At 45.8% G+C, this 20,722-nt stretch overlaps 1 long non-coding RNA gene and 1 pseudogene across 2 annotated transcripts, besides 1 other annotated feature; both read left to right on the forward strand.

Moving 5' to 3' along the window:
- The first annotated feature begins 2,614 nt into the window (after positions 1-2,614).
- Positions 2,615-8,114, forward strand: LOC105377740 (uncharacterized). 2 transcript variants are annotated; one of them, XR_007059140.1, is made up of 5 exons: positions 2,615-3,459; positions 4,448-4,520; positions 5,116-5,387; positions 5,651-5,753; positions 7,654-8,114. It is a non-coding gene; the product is annotated as an uncharacterized LOC105377740 (long non-coding RNA). The 2 variants fall into 2 exon arrangements; XR_941262.3 differs by lacking the exon at positions 2,615-3,459 and having other exon boundaries at positions 4,271-5,387.
- Positions 16,981-17,208: a silencer, noted in NCBI's record as "fragment chr5:174056950-174057177 (GRCh37/hg19 assembly coordinates)". NCBI's record gives its function as "represses an EF-1alpha promoter that drives an FKBP-Casp9 reporter gene in an ReSE screen in HepG2 liver carcinoma cells and K562 erythroleukemia cells {active_cell/tissue: HepG2 | K562}" and the evidence as "EXISTENCE:reporter gene assay evidence [ECO:0000049][PMID:32094911]".
- On the forward strand, positions 19,868-20,440 carry HIGD1AP3 (HIG1 hypoxia inducible domain family member 1A pseudogene 3; annotated as a pseudogene).
- The last annotated feature ends 282 nt before the right edge of the window (positions 20,441-20,722 follow it).

Consider the following 20,722-nt stretch of genomic DNA (forward strand, 5'->3'; position numbering starts at 1 on the left):
GAGGAGCAAAGTTCAAGCACTTTCTCCTTGCCACTGGAGAGATGAGACACAAATCATAGTTAAAAGAATGGCATGGCAGGGCTGTGGGACAGCAGGACACACTGTTCTCAGGGAAATGGTTATTGGGCATTTTGCAGAATGTTTTGAGGAAGCAACTGCTCCTAAGAATACTGTTATGTTTGAGCAATTTCAGACAAATCTTGGAAAGTTTCTTCACATGGTGATATCAGTTAGGCCCTATCAACCTCTTCAAATGAAGCCAAAATTACCTCTTCTAACCCAACTCCATAGCTGGTAGAAATCTAGTGCTACCCCAGATTCCTGCCAACCTCCATGTCATGGAGATTGGCAACCAAATTTATATGTTGAAGTCCCAGCCCCCAGTACCTTGGAATGTGCCCTTATTTGGAAATAGGTTGCTGTAGACTTAATTAGCTAAAGTACAGCCACATCCAAGTAGGGTGAACCCCTAATCCAATATAACTGCCATCCTTATTAGAAAAAGAAATTTGGAGATTGCCCCACCCCTCGAACCCACACAAACACGGAGAATGCCATGGGAAGATGAAGGCAGAGATTGGGATGGTGCTTCTACAGGCCAAGGAATGTGAAGGACTGCCAGCAGCCCCCAGAAGCTAGGCAGGAAGCATAGAACAGTTCCTTCCTCAGAACCCTCAGAAGGAACCAACCCTACCAACACCTTGATCTCAGACTTCCAGTCTCCAGAACTGTAAGACCATAAATCGTGTTGCTGAAGCCACTGTCTTACAGTTTGTGGTATTTCGTTACGGGAGCCCTAGCGAATGAATACACTCTGCCCCTACTGAGGAGATGGTGTTATGGGAGCTTTGGTCCTCCAGGACCCGCCTCCAGAGCTCTGCCTTTTTCTATACCTGCTCAACCCAGAAGTGAAACTGCGCTCCTCTTTGCCTGACCCACCACTGGGCACTCATATGAAGCTTATGTGAACTTACTAAAGGTTTGAGAAGGATGCAAGTCAAGGCCAGTCCTGAAGTGCACACTCTCCATAATCCCTGAAGACTCAGACTCTCCTCCTTTACCCTCTCTGTTCCCAAAGCTCCTGGAAGCTCAAATTCCTTCTGAGCTTTCTCCATTTTTTTTTTTTTTTTTTTTTTTTTTTTTTTTTTTACAGAGCAGTTTCCCACATCCTCTGAGAATTTGCCACCTGCTGCCACCCAGACCCTGAGGAAAGACCCCTTCCTCCAAAGCTCTTTTCAACATATTTCTCCAGGCAAAGCTATTTTCTTCCTCACTGGCACAAAACATTTTTAAAAATTAAATCATTGTCACTGATTAAAACAAAAAGATACTGACTGTATTAATTTTCTATTGCTGCATAACAACTTACTACCTATTTAGTAGTTTAAAACACACATGCATTTTCTCACTGTTTCTGTAGGTCAGGAATCCAGGCACCACTTAGTCGGGTTTTCTGTTTAAGATCTTCTCAAGGCTGCAGTCAAGGTGTTGACAGGGCTGTGTTCTCATCTGGAGGTTTGACAGGGAAGAGTTCACTTCCAAACTAGCTTGGGCTGTTGGCAGAATTCATTTCCTTGTGGTTGGAAGAGGCAAGCCCTCAGCATCTTGTTGGCTGTGGGCTAGAGGGTGCTCTCAGCTCCCAGAGGCAGCTTCTCCTTGCCATATAGGCTTTCCAACATGGCTGTTCACCTCCTTAAGCCAACAAAGAGAGTCTCTAGAGTGAGTCAGTTAACAAGACAGAAACTTTCACAATGTAAGGTAATCATAGGAGTTACATTTCATCACCTTTGTCATATTTTCTTGGTTAGAAACCAGAGGTCCCACCCACACTTAAAGGGAGAGAATTACACAAAGGTGTGAGAGTTAAGGATCATGGGAAGCCATTTTAAAATTTGTCTGCATATGACAATGCAGCAGGTACAATTGGCTCCCCGGCAGCCAGCCCACCCCCTAGCTCCAGGGGAAAGCCTGATTGGTCCAAAGGTAACCATGCTCTTTTCCATGATTGGTTTGGGAATGAGCATGTGACCCATCTCCAGCCTATGATGTGAGAAGTGTACTGAGTAACTTCTTAGTTTCCTTGCTCCTAAGACGGAACTAGGAAAAATGATGGTTTCTTTTCTTCCTCAGGATGTTTTAGTGTTTAGTTGGAACCCTGGATCTGCAGCAACCATCTTGCTACCAACTTGAGGGTGAAGCCAGCCGTAAGAATAGCAGGCCGGAAAGATGGAAGAAACCTGGCTTTCCAATGTCATCATTTGGTTGCTGAATCAATTGTACCTAAAGCTCACTCTATCTGTTTTACCTTGAGTTAGGGTTGCCGTTGCTTGCAGCTAAACGCATCTTCTTTTTTTTTTTTTTTTTTTTTTTTTTTGAGAAGGAGTCTTACTCTATCACCCAGGTTGGAGTGCAGTGGCGCGATCTCAACTCACTGCAACCTCCACCTCCCAGGTTCAAGTGATTCTTGTGCCTCAGCCTCCCACGTAGCTAGGATTACAGGCGTGAGCCACCACGCCCGGCTTATTTTTGTATTTTTGGTAGAGAAGGGGTTTCGCCATGTTGCCCAGGCTGGTCTTTAACTTCTGGACCTTAGGTGATCCACCCGCCTCAGCCTCCCAAAGTGCTGGAATTACTGGCAAGATCCACCACACCCAGTCTAAATGCATCTGAATATAACATGACTCTCCTAGAGAAAAACCTGGAACCCAGAGCACCTGAATAGAAACTCTTAATTATATCAATGAGGAATAGTTAACTTAGCCAAGTTTCCATTGAATATGAAGAACTGTAAAATAATGTCAGTTCTAGCCAAGAACTGAAAAGTAATGTCAGTACTCTATAATGTGTAATTCATAGTTGCTACATGTAATCAGGCTTGGCCAATTGTTTCCAGGAAGATGGCACCCTCATTTCTGAATGAGGATGACCATTTTCCACTAATCCAGAGGTAAAACAGTCATTGTAACTGCACTGAAATTTGCTGTATCAAGTGAGACATGAAGGTAAATGTCATTGGCCCAGAGTAATTAGTCTTTTCCAGTGCTTAAAGGAAGGGAGAGAAACTAATGCCTATTGAGTGCCTTCAAAGCTTCTGCAATGTGCTGGTACCCACATGTTTCCAATTATTCCTCACAACACTATGGAGAGGTTATTTTGCCTGTTTTGCTGATCAGGGAACTGAGACTCACAGAGTGACACCAACCCATCAGTATTTCAGGTTTCTGGGGAGGGTCCAGAGAGCAAGGGGGAAGCTGCTAATTGCTTGTTGGTTCAAGAGAAATGTTATCTCAGTAGACTAACGTATGGACTTTCTGATGTCAGAAAATGCAAACTATGTAGTGTAACCTGTTTGCCATTTTTTCTTTGTATCCGCAAACTGACAGCAAAATATATTGCACAAGTATTATAAATCTGTTCAGTTCAAGTGCCAGAGAACATTTACTCTGCTTCCTTCATGAGGTAATTCAAAACTTTGTTTTTAATATTTATTGAGTGTCTGGGTAGGTAAACTGCTATGCCGTCCTATGGGGAATTTCAGATGTGTTGTCTGTGTGTGTGTGTGTGTGTATGTGTGTGTGTGTGTGGTGTTTTCTGGTTTTGATTGTTGACGTTTTCTTGATTTTTTTTGACAGGAGCATCTTTAGATATTTATTTATTTTATAATTCATACATACATATAGTAAAAAGTTCAGATAGTTTTAAAATATAGTGATGTGTAAATCTCCCCTCACTTGTGAGCCCCAGGCATTCAGCTCCCCTCCCTAGACGCAATTATTGTAGTCAGTTCAAAGCTTGTTTGTGCACATACAAGTCTCTGTGTATATCCTCTACACACACCCAGAAGAGCATACTATACATGCTCTAGACTGTGTTATGTTTCTTTGAATGGCTACGATGTAATTTATTAATCCAGTTCCCTAATAATAGGCATTTAGGTACTTTTCATGTTTTTCTCAATGTGTAATTGTACCATTAAAATTCTTGGGTTTTTTTTTGGTTTTTTGGTTTTTTATTAAGAGTCTCGCTCTGTTGCCCAGGCTGGAGTGCAGTGGCGTGATGTCAGCTCACTGCAACCTCCGCCTCCCATGTTCAAACAATTCTCGTGCCTCAGGCTTCCGAGTAGCTGGGATTACAGTCGCCCACCACCATGCCTGGTTAATTTTTTTGTATTTTTTAGTAGAGACAGGGTTTCACCATGTTGGCCAGGCTGGTCTCAAACTCCTGACCTCGAGTGATCCGCCTCTCTTGGCTTCCCAAAGTGTTGGGATTACAGGCATTAGCCACAGCGAAAATCCTTGTATTCATGCCTTTGCCCATGTTTGCAAGTATAACTGGGAGATAAAATGCTAGAATTGCAGGGTCCAAAAAAAAGCACATTTTAATTTTAACAACTATAACCCAGTTGCCTTCCAAAGAGGCTGTACACATGTTTCCCTGTCTCAAACAGTGGTGAGCATGCCTGCTCCCCTACAAACTCACCAGCTCAGAGCATTATCAGGCTTCTCATCTCTGCCAACCTGGTAAGTACAAAGGGCATCTCTTGTAGTTTCGGTTGCATTTTTCTCATTATGAGATTGAGCAGCAGACAATGTCTTTAAAAGACTTATTTTGCTCTGGGTTTTAATCTTAAAATACTCTAAATCCTCTTAGAAGTAGGTAGGGTCAGATCTTCAATCTGGATGGATTTACGTAATGGGTCTATGAAAGGGATAGAAAGTCAAAGCAAGGGGGTGAGGCGGGGGAATGATGCGAAGTCAAAGCCCTCCCCCTCGGGGGCCCCTAGCCCATCCCTGATCCCTCACCCTTTGCAGGGCATGTCCAGAGCTGCCACTGCCCTGGGCCTCCACCCCACAGCCCAGGACCACACCTTAACCTGGAAAGTCGTGGACCTCCTCAGGGGAGCTCAGGGATCAGATGGGCCGATGGGTGTTACTGTGGCCAGGAGCACTGGGTCTTGAGTATGTGGGTGGAACTTTCCCTCATCCCCTGACCACGTCTAACCACATGGCCTCTCCACTTTGATAGTGGCGAGAAGAGTAGCCTCTTGCTTTTGCATGTTTTCCTAATCACAGCGTGCTTTCTTGTCTGCTATTTCATTTGACTTTTTTCAACCAGCCGCTGAGGTGGGGATTATTAGCACGCCCTTTGCAGATGAGGAAACTGAAGCCCAGGGAGCTTTGGCAACCTGCCCAAGGTCACACAGCCAGTGAAGGAAAGGGCTGAAATCAAACCAGGCCTGTCTGACTGCAAGGCAGGGTCTTACGGCTGCCTCCGGTGGGTAGGTCCGGGACCCAGCTGGTTTCCGTCCTGTGGCTCAGGTGCGAGGAGAGCCTCCCTGGGCCACCTGGGGAAGTCTGACTGACGTGCCAGATCCTCACAGAACAAAGGTAAGGCCTCAGCCTTCCCCCTGGCCCAGGTCTTTCCATGTCCAGTGCATTCCTGAATGCTCCCAGTACTCTGGAAAATGGGGATTCATGCTGCCATTTTAATTGGAACCCAATCTGTTCTGACTTCAAATCTAGTGCTCCTTCTCCATCCACCCACCCTCCCTGAACCATGCCCAGGAGATCGAGAGATTTTCCTAATAAACAAGTCATGTGCTACAATGCATGTGCTACACAACCACTGCCCGCTTTGTCTCTCCCCCTAGGAGAGAAGGGGACTCCTGAGAGGCCCCAGCAGCGTTATCTGGGCAGAGAAAGTGAGTTTGAAGACCTCACACTCCATCTGGACTTTATCAGCTCCTTTCCTGGGTAGGATTACAGTAAACGATTATCTACAGATCTGGAGCCAGCAAGGACTTTGAAGGCCCCAATTGCCAAGGGGGTGGTGAAATGGGGGAAGGGCTGGAGACGCAGGAGATGAAAAAGCAGTGCAGGCATCTTATCTTCCTCCTGAAATCAAACAGGCTGGGCCTGGGCAGGGTGGGAGAGGTACCCTGTCTGTGAGGCTGACAGTCTCTAGCCCTGGCTGGCCACAAAAGATACAGAGAGAACCAGATGAAGGCCCTTCACTGTCTTCTCCTGATCCTCTCTCCCTCCTCCTGGTTTCTTTTATTAATTCATTCATTCACTTGCATCTTTCAGCCTGTTAGTTACAATATCTGACACGCTCTGAGCTCTCCCGCCAAGCCAAGTGCTTAGCATCCATCCCCTCATGTGGTCTTCACCATGACCTTCTGGGAGAGGTGCCAGAATTAGGCCCATTTTACAGATGAGGAAAATGAAGCCCCAGAGGCTAAGTAATAGGATGAGCCTGGGATCACACAGCTAGTAAATGGTAGGGTCTGGATTCTCTTAAACCTGCATACATTTATTCTTCCATTTCCCCCTGCCTGCCTGCTTTCCTCTCATAATTCATTTATGTATTCAGTTTTTCATATTCCCATTGCTTGTTCATTTTGAAGTTCCTTCCCTTCTTGCTTATGCATTTCTTCTGTCCCTTCCTGTCTTCCTCCTGTCTCTTCCTTCCTTCCATGACCACATCCTGAGCCTACTGTGTGCCCTGTCACCCTGCCATCAGGACATGGGGCTCCTGACAGATGACTGCTGGGGAGGGATATGTGAGACCACCTCCTCCAGGGTCGACCTCCTCAAATGAGGCTTTTGGGCTGTGCCTCCCTATGCCTGATTTGTCCCAGTGTTTGCCAAAAATTTTAGGCTTTGATAATCTTGTGAAGATGTTTCAGCCAAGCAAGTCTTGAGACTCCATTGGTGTGGGAGTAAAAGTGGCCTGGGGAAGCCACTTCTTGCAGTTTCCCCTAAGCAAGGCTCTTTCTGTCCTTGCTGTTCTGACATCCACTCCCTCAGCAAACATCATTAAGGACCTATCATGGGCAGCCCCTGGGGCCCACTCCCATCCTCTAGCTGTCTCGATTTCATACCTCCCTAGCTCTAGAAAATTCACTCCTAGAAGGCAGGGAATTGGCGTCAAGGAACGGGTTCACAGCCTTGGACTCCTTTATTCATTCATCTTTTTTCCTAGCACCTAACACAGGGCCTGGCTTAGACTGAAGGCTAATAAATACAGGATCAAAAGGCAGTGAACCATCATTCTCTGTCACTCTCCAGGAGCTGGCCCACTCACCGTGCTAGACATTGTACTGGATATAGTAGTCCCGCATCGTTGTATCACTCTCATTTCTAGCTGGAGAAGTACCCCTCCTTTTCTAGGTGCGGTTATGGGGTCGCTATCACCTGAAGTGCCCGCCACTCACCCTGTAGTCTTGGGTGGGTATGTGATCTCAGCTAAAACAGTCGAGGTCTCTCTCCCTGGGCTTGGAATTGTAAACCAAGTGATGCAGAGAAAGAAAAAACACAAGCCCTTGGAGCCCATCACATCCCATCACCGATGAGGCTGTCCAGCGGTTCTGGCCCTCAGAAGCCCCAGAGAACTCCAGTTTCTGTCCTTTTCCGAGTGTGGCTTTCTGTCCACTTTATGGCTGCTCAACCTCCCTCCAGTATGCCCCTTCTCCCCTTAGTCAGTGAATGTCTGTTTCTGTGCTTGCAAATGATAAATCCTAAATGATGCCCCAGGACATGGTTTCCAAGGCCAGCTATTGGAGCCTCACCAGAAATGTTCATTCTGCCTCATCAGTGTCTTGGCTATTGCCTTTTTGGAACTGCTCTGACCTCTCCTCTTTCCATCCTGCAGCACCCCCTCTCTCAGCACCAGGGAGCTCCTCCAGGAGCACTTCCTCCCATGTCTGTGTTCGCCGTTAAGACTGGACACACCAGGATGATCTTTCAACTTTGGGTCCAAAGGCCCTCAGTGGATGTAAAATAGGTACATGAGGCCTTGAACTGAACATTTTTTTCACTTCACCATAACCTGGATTTTCCCAGTTTAGGAGCATCTGTTTGTCTTGATAACGTTTGGAACAAAGTGAAAAAAACTGGACTTTGAAGAGAACTTCAGGTGAATTACACATTTAAGTCAGATTTTCCATGTCTTTGTCCCATGTTCAGTAATTCAAGCTGTTAGGAGCCCTCAACTTTGTACATATATTTCCTTCCTATCTCTGCCTCTTCATACCTGGTACTTACCGTGGAATTTGAAATCTTTCTGTGGCTGTAAGCAAGAAAGGCGGGAAAAATACAAGAAGTTAAAGGGGATTGGATGGTTCAGATTTGGTTGATGAATGAGATGGTTTAGAGGCATGTCTTGTAAGAGATAATTTTCTATGTGCCAGGTACTATTTATGAATCCCACATTATCTTATTAATGCTCACAACAAGCCTTGGGGGTAAATAGATTATCATCGCCATTTCACAGATTAGGAAAGTGAGGTTTCAGCAGTCAATTGCTCAAAGGTCTCCTGCTAGTGAAACAGTCGTCTATCCAAACAGTCTGAATGACCTGTGCACATGGGAACGTGCCACGCAAGCCAAGGGCAGGAAGGATGAGAAGAGGTGGGCAGAAAGCCAGCTGGGATGAATGAAGGACCTACTACGTGCAGGCCCAGGGTCAGACATTTTATTTTCTTGATTGCACTTCAGCCTCCCAGCAGCCCTGTTTTACAGATGAAGAAACTGAGGCTCAAAGAGCTGGAGAAAGTTGTTGCCCAGGGTCCTGTGGAGAGAAAACTCAAGCTCCGGCTGTTCCACTACTCTGGGACACCACCCCCAGTGGGAACCCCACTTTTACAAGGATTCGAAGGTAGGTGAGGACTTATCTCCTGAAATAATTAGTATACTTACTTTTTTGTTACATATTCCCACTAAAGGTTTGCAGCCCCACCCAGCTTGAATATCAGGAGAATGGCAACAAAATCTGGTTCAAGGCTCACAGAATCCACGAAAGATGCCAGCCCCTCCACGGTTGGAGAGTGATTCACAAATGTGTCTTTAAGGACTTTCCCAGGCCGGGCACAGTGGCTCACACCTGTAATCCCAGCAAGCCGAGGCGGGAGGATCACCTGAGGTCAGGAGTTTGAGACCAGCCTGGCCAACATGATGAAACTCCGTCTCTACTAAGAATACAAAAATTAGGCAGGCGTGGTGGCATGCACCTGTAATTCCAACCACTTGGGAGGCTGAGGCAGGAGAACTGCTTGAACCGGGGAGGCAGAGGTTGCAGTGAGCCAAAATCACACCGCTGCACTCCAGCCTGGGCAACAGAGTGAGACTGTGTCTCAACAACAACAACAACAACAACAAACAGAAAAAAAAGAAAAAAAAAGGACTTCCCCATCTCAGAGCAGAAGACAAACCCAGGTGACTCTGAGTCTGCACAGAAAAGGCAAGGGTGACCAAGAGTGAGGAGGTTAAGCACCTGTTGCTTTCAGCTCAGGTCCTGACCACAGCCCTTAATAAGGACAAACCTCTCAGATTGCTGCAGCCTTCAATACGCATGTTCCTATAGTGCCTGGCCAATAAGAAGTACTTACACAGTAGCTGTTATTATTGTAAAGGCGGCGCAAAGAGTTAAGGAAGGCCGGTAGCTAAGCTGAATCTGAGTTGCATCTTGTAGGCCATGGTATGTGAAAGAAGGGCAGGCCAGGAGGGGGAACAGAGTGAGTAAAGCCCAGAGGCAGGGGCATGGAAAAGCAGGGAGGAGTTAAGCTTGGGGCAAATATCCTAAATGAAGGGGAATAAAAGGCAACAAAGTTTGCAAGTTGCACCGGGGCCACATCTTGGAGTTGTTTGAGAACATGTCCCATGAGGCTGCATTTAACACCAGCCACTCGCGCTTCCACCCCAACAGCAGGAGTATCACATCCACATGCCATGTGCGCAATTCCTTACTTTATATCCTCCTCTAAGATAAATCTACCCTCCCTCTTTTTTAAGCATAAGAGCATTTATTCTAAAAGGAAACTTTTGGCCAGGCATGGTGGCTCACGCCTGTAATCCCAGCACTTTGGGAGGCCTAGGCTGGTGGATCATGAGGTCAGGAGTTCGAGACCAGCCTGACCAACATGGCAAAACCCCGTCTCTACTAAAAATACAAAAATTAGCCGGGTGTGGTGGCACGTGCCTGTAGTCCCACCTACTCGGGAGGCTGAGGCAGAAGAATTGCTTGAACCCGGGAGGCAGAGGTTGCAGTGAGCTGAGATCACACCACTGCAGTCCAGCCTGGGCAACAAAGCAAGACTCTGTCTCAAAAAATAAATAAATAAATAAATAAAAGGAAACTTTTGCTCACTAATGGAAATGGAAGTGGCACCTGTCATAGGCAGAGACAAATTGTCAAAGTAAACAACTTTTAAGTCTCACTAGACACTCCTGCCCCAGCAGAATCTGGTCAAAAGCTAGGTCAGCAAATTTCAGAGGCAGTATTAAGGACAAAGTAGCAACAATCCAAACTTTCTTTTTAGGTACTCAGAAAGACTAACAGAACATTGAGAAGGGGTGTTAGTCACATCCCCAAACTGCAAGAGGCCAGAAGATAGCGAGGGGTCTTTCAAACAATCTAAAATCTGAGACCCCAATGTTGGAAAAGAGAAGGAAGGGAATGGGTTAAAGTGCCAGTTGCTCCCTCCTCAGATAGCAGGGCCCTGGACATCCCTAAGATGTCCCCTTCCTCTTTCATCCTTCCCTGATTCCAGCCTCCCCACCTTCCCCAGGCTGGCTTGCCTGATTTTGTGAGCTCTTCAGCCGGCTTAAAGTGTAATTCTGTATTTCTGATTCTATCTGTGTTCCAGGAGGCATTATCTCTATCTCTGTAATAGCTTCTCAAGCAAAAACATTTTACTGGGTAAAAGAGCAAGGAATAGGCATGACCTGATGCTGATTTAAAGCAAGATTCCAGGCAAGCCCCAGAGCCCTCTCTAAGTAGCCTCTCTCCTTTCTGCTGTCTAACGAAACAGCTCCTAATGGCCATGGTATCATATTGTATCTCATATTTACACAGCACTCGGCACACATTCACTTATTCAGCGGACATCCATTGAGGGCCTATTATGTGCCAAGTCTTCTGGGTGCTGGCAATCAACAGTGAACAAAGACCCGTGAGGTTCTTGCTCTACTTGGGAAAACAGGCAATAAACTCTGAAACAAGTAAATAAACACGATCATGATGAGGCTACTGAAAAAGCAATGTGGTAGCAGCGTGACGATGATGTGCCATGGGAGACAGGTGGCAACATCAAAAAAGGTAGACTGCCCCCGCCCTCCGAAGAGGTGGCATGTGAGCAAGAAGGAGCCAGCCAATGGAAAGCTCTGAAAGCAGAGTCTTTTAAAAACAAAACAAAATCAAAAAACAAAAACAGGGCTCAAAGAAGATGTCTGCACTTCTGCCAGACGGGGCAGAAAGAAGATAATGGTGCTCCAATCAGGGAGACTGTGGAGGCAGTACAGGTGACAGGAGGCAGGGAAACGAGAATTAGCCAGAAACACAGTAGGTTTGCCATGTCAGTCAGACACTCGAGTGTGTTCTTGCTCTTCTCAACAAACCATAAAGTAAGGACGATCAGTGTTTCCCATTTTACAGACAGGAAAACTGAAGCTCGGGAAGGCTACCCAGGTACATAGGGGCAGTGGTGGGATGTGAATCTATGGTTTAGGATGCTGACGCCAGCACTATCCCACCTGCCTCATGGTAGAGCAGTGTCCAGACACAGAGGTGGCAATGCAGCAGCTCAAGTGGCAGCTCCAGCACTGCATGTGTTTTGTCCGTTCTACATGGGTTTGGAAAAACTCACCTGAGCTAGCGATCAACTCTTAAATATAACCCTTCACTCAAAAATCTGGCTGTCTATCTGAAAATATTTGAAGACCTGGTCATAGTGGGACCATGATTTGAATGACAACAATGGGCTGGAGCAGTATCTCTGCCCACCTTGAGAGAGGGATGGGCACTCTGTTTTTCCACAGCCCCCACCTCTCCCGATTGCTTGCCCCGGCCCCTTCACTCCTCTCCATTGCATTCATGGCCTCCCTATGCATTCGGCTTTGAGGCCCCAGCTCTCTAGTGATGAAATATGTGGGAAGATCCACAAAGCCCAGCAAACGAGGAGTGACCAGAGGAATTGAGTTACAGTTCCTCCCTAGAACACTTTCCTGCCTTTCTGATGTAATCACTTTGCGCAAACAGTAGGAAATGTTCAGAAGAGCTGCTACAAGGCGGTGATTAAGAGGTCAGGCCTGGTTCTTAATTCTAGCTTCAGCAAGTCCTATCTGTGGGACTTGGGCAAGTTCTAAAAACCTCAGTTTCTTTATCTGTAAAGCGCAAATAATAATAATGCCTACTTTATAAGTAGGATTAGGGGAAACAGTAATTTAGGAAACGTGCTCGGAATGATGCTAGTTTCGTGGTGAGTATCCAATAGATGGAGCCGTAGTTGTCTTTCTCATCTTAGAAAGCAGCTGATTCTCCCATGTCATGACAGTGTTTGTGCAACTCCTCTGGAATTCTCTCCTTTCTTCCTTAGGAGAGCATTTTCTCAATGTTCCTCTTTATCTTTCTCCAAACACAAAGACAAATCTAAGAGGAAAAAAAAAATCTTCAAACTGGGTCGCAGATACTCAGCTTCTTGTCAATTCTCATTAGGGTTTAAAAGCTCAGTCTCCTGCATATGCCCAAAGATAAAGCAATCCCTTCCATTCCTAATTCAAAGAACCAAAAAAAAAAAAAAAACATGTGGTTGGACCTGGTTGAATATATAAACTTTTGGGGATGGCAATAAACTAGGCAAAGTCCTGGTTATTCAATTTATTAGCTCAGTTGTGCAACGTAGAAATAAACAGAAAATTACTTATAATTTTACAATAATATTCATTTAGAAACATCACTTTTCTCCATATACGTGTTGCATGAAACAGCTTTACTCCATTCTTTGCCACACATAAGGAGGCCGAGGAGGGAAGATGGCATGAGGCCAGGAATTCAAGGCTGCAGTGAGATATGATTGCACCACTACACTTCAGCCTGGGCGACAGGGTGACACCTCATCTCTAAAAAATAAAATAAAATAATAAAAAAATTTTGGAAATTTTTAAAGCGTCTGCTCCACAGAGCCACATTTTGCATTGTGCAGTTTCGTTTTTCAGACCTTTCTCCTCTCTTCCATCTGACTGCCCTGAGATCCAGCACTTTTTGCTTCCACATCTGAGGCTGTCGCTGGAAACAAGGTCTCCATCCCATTTGCATGACATGAGCACAGTCGGGATTTGTATTCATTCTGTGGGTGTGTGTATATTCGTGCTCTCCACAAAAGAACCACTCAGCATTGCTTTTTCAAGCCGAGCTTTAAAAGGCTTATTTGCCATGACATCCAGCACTTGTAATTTGAGGTCATACCCCGAGGAAGAATTGCTAAATCTGTGTAAAATGTTTCTGACTCCTTTTCTTACAGATTCTGTCAGATTATCTCTTTAAGAATTCTAAGCCCATGTTGTTTGAGGTGGTTTTAGGCTAATGTACATTCCCCAAACATTTCTTTGCTGTTCAAAATAAAGCAATTGAGAGGGTTCTTCGTAAAAACGAAGCACTTTGCAAGAGCTCAAGACAAAAGACAACTCCCTTTTTTCTAGGGGGTAATTTTGAGGATAGAAGAAAAACAGTGTTCTATGTAAGCCTGTACAATCACGAGAGCCATTTGCTGAGGGCCATGTGTGCGAGTGGTTCGTGTGCTCTCCACCTCCTCTTCTTCCTCCCAGGGGATGAAATGAGGCCCAACAAGTGCAAGACATGGACCATGTCAGCTCGTGACAGAACAGGGCTGGAACCCAAGTCTGCTAGGCTCAGCCCACTCCCTCCCTGTGCCGAGTTGACATATTCTACTTACATTAAGCCAAGTGCTGGGCTCTGATTATACAAAATCAGATAAGCCAGGACCCTGTGTTCAAGGAGCTCCCAGGCCTGCTGGGGTGAGAGTGGAGCAGCAAGGATGGAAGTGCACAGATGCAAGGGTGGCCAGGCCTATGGGGATACAGGCAAGGGAGGCTGAGTGTTGGGGAAGTAGGAAGGAGAGGCTGTGTAAGCAAAGTTCTGAAGGACAAAGCCATGTCTGCAGCAAAGATCTAAGTCTGGAAGAGCAGAGGGTATTTGGGAAGCTGTGGAAAGCACAGGGCAGGGTAGTAAGAGCTCATCAGTGACCCATCAGGCGGCCCCTGTGGATCATGCTCAGGAGTCTGGAGACCTACATGAGAGTCTCTGGTTGGACACGGAGAAGGGTTCGGACACTTCATTTCATGCTGTTTTTCCAGCTGCAACTCCCAGACCCAGCCTGTCACTCCCTTATGGCTCGATGTAACGCCGTGTCTTGTCCATCTCCCCAGCTTCTTCCAAATCAGGCACAAACTTTCTGAAGAGTTCCAGCAAGCAGAGGCGAAGGCTGGACTCACATTGGTTTGTCTGTAGAAGTGATTCCCCGCCCCTCACCCCAACACCAGCTTCAAGTCTTATACACCTGCACGCACTGAGAGAGAGCTAACCAAAAGGACACGTGAGTAAGCAGACAGACAGACACAAACCCACAGACACAATCACACACACAGAGACATGCACGTAACAAGCAGATGACCATAAGATGCCCAGAGGAACACTCAACAGACCCAGACACAAAAACACACCCACATTTATACAGAAGCACACAGGTGGGCTCTCACTCCCTCTCTGTCACGCACACACACTCACAATCACTTCCAAAATATACAATGGAAACTGGACCAAAGAATCCTCCCAGCTTCTCCACCTATCCCTTTCCATGACGCTCTTCCACCTCACCCTAGCCTTTCTTCTTCCCACAGAAAATTTCCCTTGCCATTCTCAAAACTGACTCTTCACACCTTTCTGGGAATGAAGGTATGGGTACCCTATACACCTCTGGGAGACAAGGGGTCATTCTGAACTGGGACACGCCAGGTGGAGCTGAAGTGGGACGGAAAGGGCGGTTTTCCCACAGAAATACAGCCTGACCCCCAGATCTGGAGAATCTGGACTTTGCCCTCCTGGAGTGGGGTGAGCAGCATTAGACGCTCTCCAAGGGCTCCCAAGCTTGAGTCATTTCTGGGGCCACACCTTCACACTGATCCCAGGGGACATGGCTGAAAGAGAGCCTGGCCACAAGCAAGTTGGTCGACCTGATAATTGGTCAAAATGATGATTGGTTGGAAATGAATATCCTTGTTTCCTATTTGTCAACTACCACTAATTTTATTTTATTTTATTTATTTATTTATTTATTTATTTATTTATTTATTGAGATGGAGTCTCGCTCTGTTGCCGAGGTTGGAGTGCAGTGGTGCAATCTCGGCTCACTGCAATCTCTGCCTCCTGGGTTCAAGCGATTCTCCTGCCTCAGCCTCCCAAGTAGCTGAGATTACAGGCGTGCACCACCATGCCCAGCTAATTTTTGTATTATTAGTAGAGATGGGGTTTCACTATGTTGACCAGGCTGGTCTCAAACTCCTGACCTTAGGTGATCCACCTTAGGTGATCCACCCACCTTGGCCTCTCAAAGTGTTGGGATTACAGGTGTGAGCCACCGTGCCTGGCCAACTATTACTCACTTCCATGCATCAGTGGGTGGTATGGCAAGTGGTTGGAATTCTTTAAGAATCTCAACCATGTTTCAGGGGTTGTTTCCTCTTTGGGAGGTTAAAGTTGTTTATTTCTTTTTTTTTTTTTTTTTTTTGAGACGGAGTCTCGCTCTATTGCCCAGGCTGGAGTGCAGTGGTGAGATCTCAGTTCACTGCAAGCTCTGCCTCCCGGGTTCACGCCATTCTCCTGCCTCAGCCTCCCGAGTAGCTGGGACTACAGGCACCCGCCACCACGCCTGGCTAATTTTTTGTATTTTTAGTAGAGACAGGGTTTCACCCTGGTCTCCATCTCCTGACCTTGTGATCTGCCCGCCTCGGCCTCCCGAAGTGCTGGGATTACAGGCGTGAGCCACCGCACCCGGCCAAAGTTGTTTATTTCTAACCAATTTTCAGGAGAGTATTCCTACTTAACTATTTGTAGCCGAGATTAAGGACATACTTCATTCACTTATTTTATTCATTCATTCAACAAATGCTTACCGAAAGTCTGGTGATAGGTGTCCTTCTAAGTCCCGGATGGACAAACAGGTGTGAACAAAGCGGACAAAGTCTATCTCCTTGGGAAGCTCACATTTTGGTGAGAGAAAGAGAGCATCAAATAGATACATAAATATTTAATATCATGTAGTAAATGCCAGGAAGAGAGGCAAAGAGATAGAGGGAAAAGGGGTATGACCTCAGAGAGGGCAGTCAAGGAAGGCCTAGATTAGGGGAGGGGAAATTGAGCAGATGCTTTCATGCACTGCTGGGATGTTCCTCACAGGGGACGAGACATGCAAAGACCCTGAGGTAGAGCAGCCTTGGTGTGTTGGAGAGCAGTTAGATCAGAGCAGGTGGTCCACAGGGAACAAGGGAGAACCAAGGCAGGACGTGAGCCTGAGGAAGCAGCCAGGGCCTGAGCACAGGGGCTTGCAGACCACAGTCTCAAAAATGTTAGAAAGCCTTTGGAGGATTGCAAACCAACACGATCCCATTCAAATTCCAAAAGGAGCAGTTCTGGCTGTTGTGTGAAGAATAGCCTGGAATGGGAAGTGGGCTGGGAGTGGAAGGACAGTGATCGCTTAGAAATATATCACAGGCGCCGGGCACGGTAGCTCACGCCTGTAATCCCAGCACTTTGGGAGGCCGAGGCGGGCGGATCACGAAGTCAGGAGATCGAGACCATCCTGGCTAACACGGTGAAACCCCGTCTCTACTAAAAATACAAAAAAATTAGCCGGGCGTGGTGGCGGGCGCCTGTAGTCCCAGCTACTCGGGAGGCTGAGGCAGGAGAATGGCATGAACCCGGGAGGTGGAGCTTGCAGTGAGCCGAGATAGCGCCACTGCAGTCCTGCCTGGGCAAAAGAGCGAGACTCCGTCTCAAAAAAGATAGAAAAGAAAAGAAAAGAAAAGAAAAGAAAGGAAAGGAAAGGAAAGGAAAGGAAAGGAAAGGAAAGGAAAGGAAAGGAAAAGAAAAGAAAAGAAAAGAAAAGAAAAGAAAAGAAAAGAAAAGAAAAGAAAAGAAAAGAAAAGAAATATATCACAGGTCTCCAAGTAAAAGTGATGAGAGAACCCCCTAATGTCCACCCAGGAGAATTCACCAAAACAACCTGCAGGCCAAAGAAGAGGCAAAATGAATGTCCAACCACAAAGACCTGTTAGAACACATCCAGTGTTGGTCGGGCGCGGTGGCTCATGCCCGCAATCCCAGCACTTAGGGAGGCCGAGGCGGGTGGATCACCTGAGGGCAGGAGTTTGAGACCAGCTTGGCCAACATGGCAAAACCTCATCTCTACTAAAAATACAAAATTAGTCTGGTGTGGTGGCATGCACCTGTAATCCCAGCTACTCGGGAGGCTGAGGCAGGGGAATCACTTGAACCCAGGAGGTGGAGGTTGCAGTGAGCCGAGATCGCAGCACTGCACTCCAGCCTGGGCAAAAAGAGTGAAACTCTGTCTTAAAAAAAAAAAAAAAAAAAAAAAAAGGACACGTCCAATGTCCACAAGAGAAGAATCATTGGTCACTGCTTACTGAGGACCTATTATGTGCCTGGGACTATGCAAGAAATTGTAAAGAAAACATCTCACTTAACTTTTGTAATCACCATTCAAGGTAGATATAATTATTCCCATTTCACAGACTGGGGAACAACTTTAATTTTTTTTATCCCTGTTTGAAAACATTTTAAAATATCAAAAAGGCAGAAAAAGTAGAATTGGATTGAAACAAATGAGATATTTTAATGTTAAAAAAATTAATCGAAAGACTAAATTTTTTTAGAGACAAGGTCTCACTATGTTGCCCAGGCTGGTCTTGAACTCCTGGGCTCAAGCGATTCTTCCACCTCAGCTTCCCAAAGTTCTGGGATTACGGGCGTGAGCCACCACGCCCGGCCTGAAAAAATTTTTGAGCTTTGTCTTTTACTCTATTTCCTAAAGCAAATGTAATGCACTCTCATCTCAGAAATAGTAAAATAGAAAGAAAGCAAAATAAGCAAAAGGAGCCCCCATAGTCCCACCCCGTTATCCACCCACTCGCAGTCCTTTGATGTGGATGTCGCCGTGTGTGCCTTTTTTTTTTTTTGGTGAGACAGAGATTTACTCTTGTTGCCAGAGTCTTGCTCTTTTGCCAGGGTGGAGTGCAGTGGCACGATCTCGGCTCACTGCATCCTCCACCTCCCAGGTTCAAGCGATTCTCCTGCCTCAGCCTCCCGTGTAGCTGGGATTACAGGCATGTGCCACCATGCCCGGCTAATTTTGTATTTTTAGTAGAGACAGGGTTTCGCCGTGTTGCCCAGGCTGATCTCAAACTCCTGACCTCAAGTGATCCGCCCGCCTCAGCCTCCCAAAGTGCTGGGATTACAGGAGTGAGCCACTGTGCCTGGCCAGGATGTTGCCGTGCCCTTTTATTGTAGACACAGTGTTTTTCAAAAATGAGTTCATGCTGGCCAGGTGCGGTGGCTCATGCCTGTAATCCCAGCACTTTGGCAGGCCAAGGTGGGTGGATCCCAAGGTCAGGAGTTCGAGACCAGCCTGGCCAACATAGTGAAACCCCATCTCTACTAAAAATACAAAAATTAGCCAGTCATGGTGGTGGGCGCCTGTAGTCTCAGCTACTTGGGAGGCTAAGGCAGGAGAATCGCTTGAACCTGGGAGGCAGAGATTGCAGTGAGCTGAAATCATGCCATTGTACTCCAGCCTGGGTGACAAGGCAAGACTCTGTCTCAAAAAAATAAAAAAAATAAATAAAATTTAAAAAACGAGCTTGTGCTATATATACTATTCTGTGAGATTCCATAATTCACTTAAATCACCTTAGTAGGAGAGATTGTCTCAAGCATTTTCTCTTTTCTTGGCCATTTAAGTTGTTTTCTTATTAATGAACAGTTATTGTGTCCTAAGTTTTCCCATTACAATGAAGAGCAAGAAAAAAATTATTGAAAATAAATTCAGGCCAGGCGCAGTGGCTCACACCTGTAATCCCAGCACTTTGGGAGGCCAAGGTGAGCATATCACGAGGTCAGGAGATCAAGACCATCCTGGCTAACAGGGTGAAACCTTGTCTGTACTAAAAATACAAAAAATTAGCCGGGCGTGTTGGCAGGCACCTGTAGTCCCAGCTACTTGGGAGGCTGAGGCAGGAGAATGGCGTGATCCTGGAAGGCAGAGCTTTCAGTGAGCTGATATTGTGCCACTGCACTCCAGCCTGGGCGACAGAGCGAGACTCTGTCTAAAAAAAAAAAAAGAAAAGAAATACAATTGAAAGACAATAGAAAATCTTTGGGAAAAATACAGAAATGCTTTGCATAGAGGAAGACAAATTTGCAGTGTTTCAAATGCTTACTACTGGGGATATTGCTTTTCAATGGTATTTTTGTTTTGGCTAAGTTGTTCTTAGCTTTCTTCCAAATTGCATGTTTGTTCGAATTCACTTTGGTCAAGTAGTTTTTTTGGCTAACTCATATAAGCATTAATTAAAAATGACCAGTATTTAGTTAGCTTTGAATATATGTGCACTAGCCCTAGTACAAACCTTAGTCTAATGAATCCTCCCCGTAATAGCTGAGCAAGGTCCTGGTGGCCTTTCCCATCTGATGGAAATGGACTCAGAGAGTCATGGGGAAGAGATCTTAACCCAAAGTCACCTGGCTGGGAAGTGGCAGAGGCTTGAGTTTGAGCCCAGACCATCCTGGATGCCTGCATCTGGGTCCTTGCCATTGTCCCTGACCTCTCCCTCTCCTGCGAACCTTAATTGCTAGTAAGGGAAAGCTAATAACAGGCTTATAATAAAATCTTTACTGATTCTAAAAACCTTTTATTCTTCGGCTACAAGAGATATCCAGAAATGTAACTTCGGTTTCTGAATTTAGCAACTAATTTGTCTATATTAAAAAGGTCTTTATAGGAGAAGCCGGCAGGACTGGGCGCGCGGGTGGGGATCAGAAGCCAGTTGTCGTGAGAGGTTTTCTCGCTCTAGGGAGAGTCTTCAAGCAATCACTATATCAACAGACACAGATGTTTCCCTTTCTTCATATAATGAAGATCAGGGATCCAAACTTATTTGAAGAGCCAAAGAGGCCCATTCGTACCCATTGGAATGGCAGGTGTTGCAGCAATTGTTGCATATGGATTATACAAATTGAAGAGCAGGGGAAATGCTAAAATGTCCCTTCATCCGATCCACATGCGTGTGGCAGCCCAAGGCTGTGTTGCAGGAGCAATGACTGTTGTTATGGGCTATTCCATGTATCAGGAATTCTGGGCAAAACCTAAGCCTTAAAGAAGAGATGCTGTCTTGGTCTTGTTGGAGGAGCTTGCTTTAGTTAGACGTCTCATTACTCAAGTTATGTATTGTTGAAAATAAACTAATTTGTGTGGGTTTAGATGGTAACACAGCATTTTGAATATTGGCTTCCTTTCTTGAAAGCTTGATTTGCCTGGTGACCAAATGACTACTGATTAGTTTACTAACTAGGTCCTTCAAGGAAGTCAAGTTAACTTAAAAGAAGTATGTCACCTAAATGCACTTGATGCTGTTGAAATGTCCACCTTCTTAAATTGTCAAGATGAACTTCGTTCTAAAGAAGATAACAAGCCAACCCTGTAGTACTCCCAGTTTGCTGCAGAATCTCACATATTTTGGATGTTACGTAAGAGTCCTATTTGCCCCAGTTAATTTAACTTTTTTCTGCCTGTTTTGTGGACTGGCTGGCTCTTTTAGAACTCTGTCCACAAAGTGCATGGAATATAATTTGTAAA

Source organism: Homo sapiens, chromosome 5, assembly GCF_000001405.40.
Source record: "Homo sapiens chromosome 5, GRCh38.p14 Primary Assembly".
NCBI lineage: Eukaryota > Metazoa > Chordata > Mammalia > Primates > Hominidae > Homo > Homo sapiens.